This window comes from Homo sapiens, chromosome 4, assembly GCF_000001405.40.
Source record: "Homo sapiens chromosome 4, GRCh38.p14 Primary Assembly".
Lineage (NCBI taxonomy): Eukaryota > Metazoa > Chordata > Mammalia > Primates > Hominidae > Homo > Homo sapiens.
The window spans coordinates 185,013,722-185,022,658 of record NC_000004.12 but is presented as its reverse complement, the minus strand read 5'-3'; the positions used below and the strand labels follow the sequence as shown (position 1 = coordinate 185,022,658).

Sequence of the window (8,937 nt, the reverse complement as noted above, 5' to 3'; positions counted from 1 at the left end):
TAATGCTCAGAGAAGAAAACTCTGAAAGGCCTTCTTCATATTCTGTATCCAGCGCTGATGAAAATGGGTGTAAGACATGTGTTCCCATAATAGGCACCACCCATTCTCCCCATTTCTGCATAATTTGTTTTTATCCCATATTGCTCAATGTATATTTGTTATCCGGGAGGGCCGCCTGGTCTCACTCTCACTTCCATGCTCCATCACTTCATAGAAAGGAGAGAGCTCACATTTTATACACAAGTTATTTCAAGAACCTCTCACATGCAAGACCTTTTCTAAAGTTTAAGATTTTCTCCTGGCAAAACATATACGTGTAAGTTTCACTTTACGGGCAATGTAATGAGGGCTTTTTTTTTTTTTTTTTTTTTTTTTTTTTTGCCTGTCTCTGCATAATGAAGTTTGATGGTTTACAAATTGCAGGTCATCCCATTCCATGACCTCAGCAAACAGTCTAGGTCAGAGCTTTCTTAAACCCTGTCCAGAGAAAATAGAATAAGTTAATTTACAGTCCTCCAGCCGATCTGAGAGAAGACAAATCACCACAGTTCAGCGAAATGGCCTCTGGAAACAAAGAGGAAAACGTGCTACCTAATTTCGAATTATTTATTTAAAAGGCATTAAAGTTAATGAGGCACAAAAGTTCAAAGAAAAATTTAAATACCTACAAACACAAACTTAGCCAGTTGGATACATTGTTTATTTTACCTATTTACATGAAACAACGGGGAGCCCTATTTTGCCCTTTGAGTCTTACAGAAACAGGATTTTAGCTTTTGCCGTTGTAGATGCATCGCTGTGGGTAGGGCACAGATGTCCTGGAAGTGAAAATCACAATCCCTTAAAAGACCAATAGCCAAGTCTCTCCTGGATTCCAAACTTTCCTCACCACGTTCTGGGTGGGGCGAGATAAAAAAAAAAATCTCACTGGGGAAAGGATAAGGAGGACTTTTCTCTCCAAGCCTGAGAACTTAAACGGAGACCCCAGGGTCTCCATCCTGCACCAGTGTCCGAATGGTAAAGGATGGCGTGTAGGGAACAATCCCCTAAGGGGTGGGGAAGGGGCGTCTCCCAACCCGGCAGGTGCCGACCTCTCGCCGAGACGCCCAGCGCCCCCGAAGCTGGCCTGCTCTGTGCGCAAAAGGCAACGCCAGCTTCTCGGAAGCCTCTGGCGCTGAGCAGTTGTCATCAACGATGTTGTTTCTAATCCGCAACTCAGAACTGTACTTGGTTCCGGTATTTTTTAGAGGATTTTTAATTCTGTAAACTCAGCCACGCGCCCCGCTGGCCCGGGTTTCGCCGCATTCCAGACCCGCGGGCGTGCGGTGCGCGCGCGTCGGGCACTTGGCTCCGGGTAGGACGGGCGCCCGGGTCGCAGCTGGCAACGGTCCGCCTAAGTCAGTTTGGGGCAGGTCCTTCAATTTGCATTTTCCTGAGAGCCAAGGGCAGTGTTCTTCGCCTCCCCTGTTTCTCTGAGGCTAATGCTCAAGATGGGGCGGGTGCAGGAAGCCGCGAATCCCGCCCTTAAGCGATGCCTAGAATATCTGCCTGAACCTCCATTTAACGTCCCCCTCCCTCAGACTCCACAGCGGGCCCCTCACCAAGTTACTGAGGGCTGTTACCTTGAACCCTGTCAGCCTTGCGCCCTGGGCACCGCGGAGGGGACGGGTGTGGATGAGCAGAAGGTAATACATAAATCCCTCTCTTTGGGTCTTTATCAGAAAACGTTTATTACCAGGGGGAGATCCTTCAGAAGACTCATTCGCTCTTTGCCTCCCCCAGCCCAGATTTTTGGGGTACAATATTTACACATTATGTGTACAATATATACAGCATTTCTCCTAAAAGCGCCCAAAGCGAGGAGAAATCTGGCGGGCGAGTGGGCGTCAGAGCACCGGGGGGTGCTGGGGCGTGTGCAGGTTAAGGGCGTTGGGGTGCGCGTGGCCGATCAGGTTGAGGTAATGCCGGTCCAGGCCCTGCACCGGTGTCAGGAAGGGGCTGTGCTGCTGCGCTGGGCTAGCGAGCGGCACTGGCGCGCTGGGCAGGTAGGGCAGCGCGGGGCTGCGGGCCGCGCCAGGCGGCCAGGGGAAAGGCCCGGCACCAGAGCCCTGCGGGAACACAGCGGCCTCGCCCGGGCTGTGACCAGCGAATTCGGGCCCCGCAGGGTGCAGCTGATAGGAGAAATCCGGCTCCGGGAGCGAACCCAGCGGCGGAAAGGCGGGCTCCGCGCCCAGGCGGGCCTTGGACTGCAAGAAGGCGAGGATGCGCGCGTACTTCGTGTCCTTGGTCTCCATCCGCTCCACCGTGGTGAGGTAATGCACCAGGTTCTTCATGCACTCGTGGTAGCCATAGTGGAAGTAGTTGGCAAACTCCGCTAGAAGTTCTGCTGGAGGAACGAGAAAGCCCGTAGGACGGACACACCCTGAGTGCCCCTTCCCCACGCGAGCCCAAAGCGGGTGCAGGGCACCTCCCACCACATTTTCTGGCCAAAGTTCCCATTTGAGGCCCGCCCTCTCCTCTGCGCAGTCTTAGAGACTGGCGAGGCACGCGCAAACGCCCTCTTTCCCTGAGAGCCTGACCCCACCCACCCCACCCGGGAGAAGGAGGTGGAACCAGCCTCCCTGGGAACCAGTTCTCCCTCGCCGCCTTGCTGTCGCCGAGCAGGGAGAGGCGCCTTCGCAGGACCCCTGCCCTCCTGGAGAGTGGAGCTCTAGTAGAGCTCTCGGGAACACTCAGTCACTCCCCTCCCAGCCCCAGGGTCTCTGGGTGGCGCAGGCGCCTGGCCCAGGCGTCCCATTCCCTAACCTGTGCCCACCTTTTTCCCTTCCCCGGGGAAAATCAGCGGAGTGCAGTGCTCTCAGGTACTGAACGGTCATCTCGAGGATCTCCGCCTTCTCCAGCTTCCCGGAACTCTGCAAAAGGAGGAAGGGCCCCTCGCAGCGGCCCAGCGCCTGCTGGTCGGGCACTGTGGCGCTGGAGAGGACCAGCGAGCGGACGCGGCTGCGGATCTGCGCCAGAGCCTCCTGAGGTTCGCCCTGCGCTCAGGCCCCCCGCCTGGGAGGGGCCCGCAAGTGAGGTCCTCTGTGTCCGCGGGCTCGGGCGTCTCCGCAGAGTGGCCGCAGAGGCCTCCCAACGCCTGGCACCCGGCTCCGGGTCGCCAACGTTACCTGCTTCGCCAAGGCCATGGGCACTGTCTTGCCCAGCTCGTTCAAGCAGCGGTTGATCCTGTCCCTCCTCCGCTTTTCTATCACTTTATGAGAAACGGGGGTTCTCTGCGAAGAGAGGGTTGTATGTTTAGGATGGCTTTGCCCGGGAAGTCGTCAAAGGCGCGGCTCTAGCAGCTGGGTGCAAGCCGCCTCTCCAGCCGCGCACACTGCTCAGATTCGCTCTAGGAAGGGACTCCTGGCCCGCCACGCTCGGGCCAGGTGAGCTCTGCCTTCTGACGCCCGCGCTGGCGCGCTCCCCTTCCAGCCACCCTACCCAGGCCTTTGGGGAGGTGGCCGCCAGCCTCCAGGCAGGACTTCTACCTGGTTGAGCACCCTCCTCTCTCTACCCCACCCCCTTCCCAAACCACTCGAGATTCCTCCACACTCAAAGTCCCGTGCGGGCACTTCCCTGCCATCGGTCCACCCAAGTGGCGGGTCGGTGAGTCAGATGCCTCCACCACCAGGGCGCAAGTGCCATTTGGGCTCAGCCGACTCACTTTGCGTTCCTTGAGCTTGTCTGACATCCTGGTCAGTACGCGCCCTCGGGAGAGGCGGTGGCGCGGGGCACCCGTCCACTTTTCCGCCTCGTGTGCCTCCTCGAGTGTCCCAGGTAGACTGCAGCCTCCCAACTCCGAGGGCTGCCTTATAAAGCGGTCATCTAGGGCTCCAGATGCATTCACGAGTTGAATTATTCCATAGGATTAGGGGAGCTGCGTTTGGAGGATGTATGCATTCAAGATCAGTTTTAAAGAAGTTAAGAAAAAAAAAAAATTAGCAGCCGAGGGGGGCGAGCTGGGGGCAGATCAGCTTTGTTAATCCACGTGGCCCTTCAAAGGACACGTGATCGGCCCAGGAATAACATTTGCATGGCAACAGCTCGGGCGGGAAAAGGAGGCGGTAAACTGGGGCCGGCGGGCGAGCAAGCGCCTGCAGCAGTCGCGGGCGCGGAGCGCAGGGGCGCAGCGGCCGCGGGCACCGGGGGGCGAGGACCCTCACAAAACAGTGTCGCCTCTTTTAGTCCCACCGCTGAGTCTCACATGATCGCCTGTTTACAAATCCCAGCAAGCCCGCCGTCCCAGCGCCGAGTGCGTTTTAAAGCCTGTCCAGAGTCATTAAAGTAATTAAGTAAGCCTTTAATAGGCTGTTCCGCCGGGTTCAAGGGAGAGCTCTTGGAGACGGAGGCGCCCCGTTTGTTCCCAGGCTTTTCTCACACGACTTGGTGACACGTCCTTCTCCCCCCTTTTTGTTTACACCGCTTTATTTGTCCGGACATCCCGGCAGGTGTGGGGCTGCGGCTGGCACACGAGGCTCCCGCCTCGCCTCGCCTCGCCCCTCCCGCCGCTGTTTGGCACGCGACGCTCCCCCCTACTCCCTGACCACGTCGCTGGCTTTCTTTTCTCCCCACCCCTCCTGCTCCCTCTTCGCGGGGGGAAGAGGCTCAATTTGTAGCCTATTATCCTATACGAAAATGTCCATTGAAAAGTATGAATAGTTTCATTGGGCTAAATTTTAATAATGCCAGAGGGTGGGGGAGGAGAGACTGGCGGGCGTGTGTGTGTGTTTGTGTGTGAAGGGGCGGGTGGGAGGATTGGGGGGCAACACGGAGAAGAGTGGGCCGAGAAGAAAAGGGGGAATGCAGCTGGCCCAGGCAAGCATTATGCAACGTCACCTGCGAGAGGGGGCGCCTACAGACCCCTATTCATTTGCCTAATTTTGGTCAATTTAACAAACTTCAGGAGAAATTATTGTGGCTTTGTCAGGGAGGGTGAAGCCTTCTGATCGAATTAACAGCATGTTTTGATCCGGTAAATGTCATTAGAAAGGGAGAAACAATCGCGCTTAGAGGGCTCTGAGTAATGCGCCCAAGTGGAGACGCCAAAGCGCACGGCTCACAAAGGGAGCAAGTAGCTGCCACAGGGAACTTTTGTACCCGCCCATCGCCCAAGTTTTGACACAAAAAGGCATTATTTCATACTTGAATACGTTTAATCCAACGATTGTCTATTTTCTGCAAACATATTTTCACAGCATTGTTAACTTTTTATGTCTCCCTTTCGCTGGCGTCTTTTCTTAACGTTTGGGGGCGGGAGAGCGCAGACACTTTGGGCATCAATATTTGTCACTGAAAAGGGCCCTGTGAAGTTTGGGAAGTTGATCTCTTTTTTATGGTTTTAGAAAGCGAAAATATCGGGGGGAGGAGGAGGGAGGGAAGGCACGAACAGAAACGAGGGAGGAAATTTGCTGGACGGGCCCAAGGGGAAGGAGGGGGGCGGCGGCGGCTGGGAACTCTCTTGGCCGCCTGCGCCTCTGAGGGCAACCTGGCCCCGCGGCCAGAGGCCACCTCCCCCAGGACGGGCCTCGCTCACACTTGCTGCCTCGGATCCTATACTCTGGGGGCTCTGAGCTTGTGGGGTGTGGGTGGGGGGTGAGCTTTCTTGCAGATTGAAACGATAAAAATGATTTTTGTTTTATGGCCCTTTCTAGAGCCACCGAACTCTCACCTCTCTAATCTTTTCCATCTGGGAACAGCTGAGACCGCTTCTCAGATTTTTCTTCTTTTCTGCCTGCCCCTAACCCTGCCTAAATTCTCTCTGTTCTGCAGGGAGATGGCAGGGCCCAGCGCCCCCCTTGGGGTCGTTAGACCTTGGCAGGGGTGGGTAGGCGGCGCTCTTCTAGCTGGTGGGACCTGGGAGCCTCAGGGCGCAGAGCCAGGCCTGGGGTGCCAGGCCTCGGGGAAGCCATCGGCCCACCTGCTGCGGCCTGGGAGATGTGAGGGCTCGGTCTGCACCTCGCACCCCTAGGGTGTCCCTCTCGGTCCTGCCTCTAGTCTCCTCACGATGTTTCCTTTCTGCTTCACGCCAGATTGGACACGATCCGCACCCTCCCAGGTTGCTCTGCCAGCCGCGAGTGCCCTCTCAGGGGTTGTCGATTTCAGGATATTCACTCGCACACAAAGAGATTAAACGCGAACCCTTATCATCCAAATTAACTAACGTGAATGGGTAAAAAGGAGCGCGCACACTTCGCACTCCCACTCCCATTTTTAAGCCAGCGGCCCGGGCGTTGATCCTCTTACTGCCGGTGTTAACCGCCAGCTGCAGGCACCTTCCACGGACCACATTTCATTCCATGCACACTGTTTAATTTCCCGGGTTTGGTCTCGGCGCTTGGCTCAAGGCTTGCCCAGGGCTAAAAGTACCCGCGTGCAGGTGAGGGGGCAAGGGAAGGCCGGTGAGTGGAGACTTGGGCTCAGGGGCGCAGCCTCGCCCGGTCCTTGCGCGGCTGCAGCACTACCTGCGAAACCTGGAACGCCCTCCGCTTCAGGATAGGGAAGGACGTATTTCCTTTCTCCCTTCTCGGTCCGAAGGCCTGGGTCACACACGCTGCCCCAGAGTGGGGCGCCTCAGGGCTGTCTTCTCTTTGCTTCTCCTCAGGGTGAAGATCAGGAGTTCCCTGATCCTGGCCTAGTTTCCACGCAACATAAGAGCAGAGTAGGGAAGAGCCGAGGTTCGCCGGAGCCAGCCAGCCTGTTCAGATCCCAGCCCTACCGCCCACCAGCTGGGTGAGACTCGAGGCATCGTCCTGAATCTACTGTCCCTCAGTTTCCTCATCTGTAAAATGGAAATAATGTTTCTACTATGTTACCGGGTGGTCACTCCAGTGAAATAAGTAAATACAGACGAGGCACCTAAAAGAAGACTGGATCGTGCAGTTAGTGGTTTTACTTTGCCTGCAAATCTCTCCTACGGTGGCTCTTCTGTGTTTTACAGGGTAGTGTGGAGTTTGCACTGTTAGATGATTTTTCCACTCATTTCATTTTTTGCCCTCATCCCAGAGAAAGCTCTAGCCTCCCTGAAAAAGCCACAGTAATTCCTCCTGAAGTTTGTTTAATTGACCAAAATCAGGCAAATGAATGGGGGCCTTCAGGCACCCAGGTGACATCACATAGTGCTACTGGCCAGCTGTGTAGTCCCAGTGTGTGTGTGAGGCTGAAAGGGACTCTAAGCACAGGACCCCTCAGCATCATAGCCGTTCTCAAGGGACGCAAATATTAGCATCAAAATCAAAAGAAAGCTAGGAAGCAAGACTGCCTGGAAATTAGACAGTGCTTATTAAATATTGCTCTGCGTTCAGCCTCCTGGCAGCTAAAGACCTCTACTGGAGAACACAGCAATCACAAGCCGACCATGTTTATTATCGTTATTTTTAATACTATTTCTTTGGCTCCATAAGTTTGACAAGCAGATTGCAAACACAGAAGGATGGCTTATTATGTGTTTGCTTCCAGTTTTTAGAAATTGAGGATTTGTGGGCTTGGGGGCAGGGGATGGATGGAAAGAAAAGAATACAGTAACTTTAGACAAATTGCACTAAGACAAAGAATTCCAGGTAATTTCAAATCCCTCCCTCCACCCCTGCCTCCAATACACAAGTTGACTTTCTAGACACATTAACAGGACTGGAGATTTCATCAAATGTGAGGAGCCCTGGCTGAGAGCGGGAGAACACCAGCATGGCTGGCCCTACTGACTTCTGAGGTGCTGGGAAGATGAGGCCTGGAGGGAGCCCAACTCCTGGGCTCTGTTATGAAGTGAGCAGGATCTCAGGCTGCTCCTTCTGGAAAGGCCCATGAGAGCATGGCTCCAGCACCCCACTTCACGCTCGAGGGCCCTGAGGAACCACGAGGAGACTGGGATGCCCAATGGCAGGCGTGAGCGGCTGCCGGAAGTCTCCCATTTAGCATTTGTTGATTTGCTGTGTGAACTCCTCCAGGGCTGAGGAGGAGGGCTGGCTTCCTCCTGTCACTATCAAGGAGGATCTGGTCAGACTCCTGTGATTAGGGCTGGCAGCCCTTCTGTGGGACACCTGCTGCCCGTGGCTTGTATGATCATTGTCAGGAGGCATTGGCCGTGTCTATGCCCCCTTTACGCCTTTTTCTACCTCTCATGAGTCCAGTGGTAATGGCACATGCTGAGCACCCACAATGAGCCCAAGCTGGCAATTCCAAGTAGAAAGGGACTTGGTCCTGCCTATTACAAATGTGCGCTTGAAGAAAGAAGAAAGTATTCATACTGATGGTCCCAGTACAGCAGTCTCCACACAGCAGTCACTCCCAATGTCCGTCGCAGCAGCCATGGGTGGCATTGGCTATCCTGTTGGGCTGGCAGCTTCTCTGGAGTTTCCTTGCTCAGCACGCTAATTCCTCTGCTCTCTCTGGTCACCGGTAGTATTCTCAACCCAATAGTGACGCCACCAGGAAGAATCTGCCAGGAGATGCTTGTTGGTGCAGTCAGGCGGCAGTGAGAGGGGTCCTGGGGAGCACTTCAATCTCTCTAACCACAAGGACACACATTGAAGATGTCTGCTGCTATCTGAACCCCAGACCTGAAAGGAACCCAGAGACATGAGAAACTTGTATCCAATGCGAGGTGATTTCCCAGGGCTTTCGTTTTTAGCCCCTTCGTTCTTGTCTCTGAAGCAGCTTAGTTCTCTGCTTTCCAGCGCTCTTTTTAGGTTTAGTAACAGGCAGTGGACGTAGCAGCAGGGAAGCCACAGTCAGCACCACAACCTGTCAAATGATTCATGCGCTTTCACCTTCTCTACCCTTTGGAAGAAGTGTTGGAAACGATACACACACACCACTAGAATCTCCTGCCTCCAGAAGTTGGGTTTGTTTTAAGTAAAAACTAAGTGCTCTAATTCTTTGCTACTGGAAACGTGGTCCTCAGAA

General features: G+C 54.6%; 1 protein-coding gene across 3 annotated transcripts, besides 5 other annotated features; it reads right to left on the bottom strand.

The window, feature by feature from the left end:
• Positions 611-1,537: an enhancer, noted in NCBI's record as "H3K27ac-H3K4me1 hESC enhancer chr4:185942276-185943202 (GRCh37/hg19 assembly coordinates)". NCBI's record gives its function as "activates a minimal SCP1, AML or CMV promoter by ChIP-STARR-seq in primed H9 embryonic stem cells {active_cell/tissue: H9 hESC(primed)}" and the evidence as "EXISTENCE:reporter gene assay evidence [ECO:0000049][PMID:30033119]".
• Positions 1,538-2,465: an enhancer, noted in NCBI's record as "H3K27ac-H3K4me1 hESC enhancer chr4:185941348-185942275 (GRCh37/hg19 assembly coordinates)". NCBI's record gives its function as "activates a minimal SCP1, AML or CMV promoter by ChIP-STARR-seq in naive and primed H9 embryonic stem cells {active_cell/tissue: H9 hESC(naive and primed)}" and the evidence as "EXISTENCE:reporter gene assay evidence [ECO:0000049][PMID:30033119]".
• HELT (helt bHLH transcription factor) lies at positions 1,706-4,169 on the bottom strand. Of its 3 annotated transcripts, none has more exons than NM_001300781.2 (4): positions 3,704-4,169; positions 3,168-3,272; positions 2,816-2,912; positions 1,706-2,386 (listed from the first exon to the last, which is right to left on the bottom strand). In NM_001300781.2, the coding sequence occupies exons 1-4, from the start codon at positions 3,728-3,730 to the stop codon at positions 1,887-1,889; spliced, it is 729 nt and encodes a 242-aa protein (NP_001287710.1). In that variant the 5' UTR covers positions 3,731-4,169; the 3' UTR covers positions 1,706-1,886. The 3 variants fall into 3 exon arrangements, with proteins under 3 accessions (NP_001287710.1, NP_001287711.1, XP_016863675.2); NM_001300782.2 differs by having other exon boundaries at positions 1,706-2,383; XM_017008186.2 differs by having other exon boundaries at positions 3,168-3,308; positions 3,572-3,730.
• Positions 3,180-3,759: an enhancer, noted in NCBI's record as "H3K4me1 hESC enhancer chr4:185940054-185940633 (GRCh37/hg19 assembly coordinates)". NCBI's record gives its function as "activates a minimal SCP1, AML or CMV promoter by ChIP-STARR-seq in primed H9 embryonic stem cells {active_cell/tissue: H9 hESC(primed)}" and the evidence as "EXISTENCE:reporter gene assay evidence [ECO:0000049][PMID:30033119]".
• Positions 3,760-4,338: an enhancer, noted in NCBI's record as "H3K4me1 hESC enhancer chr4:185939475-185940053 (GRCh37/hg19 assembly coordinates)". NCBI's record gives its function as "activates a minimal SCP1, AML or CMV promoter by ChIP-STARR-seq in naive and primed H9 embryonic stem cells {active_cell/tissue: H9 hESC(naive and primed)}" and the evidence as "EXISTENCE:reporter gene assay evidence [ECO:0000049][PMID:30033119]".
• Positions 4,339-4,919: an enhancer, noted in NCBI's record as "H3K4me1 hESC enhancer chr4:185938894-185939474 (GRCh37/hg19 assembly coordinates)". NCBI's record gives its function as "activates a minimal SCP1, AML or CMV promoter by ChIP-STARR-seq in naive H9 embryonic stem cells {active_cell/tissue: H9 hESC(naive)}" and the evidence as "EXISTENCE:reporter gene assay evidence [ECO:0000049][PMID:30033119]".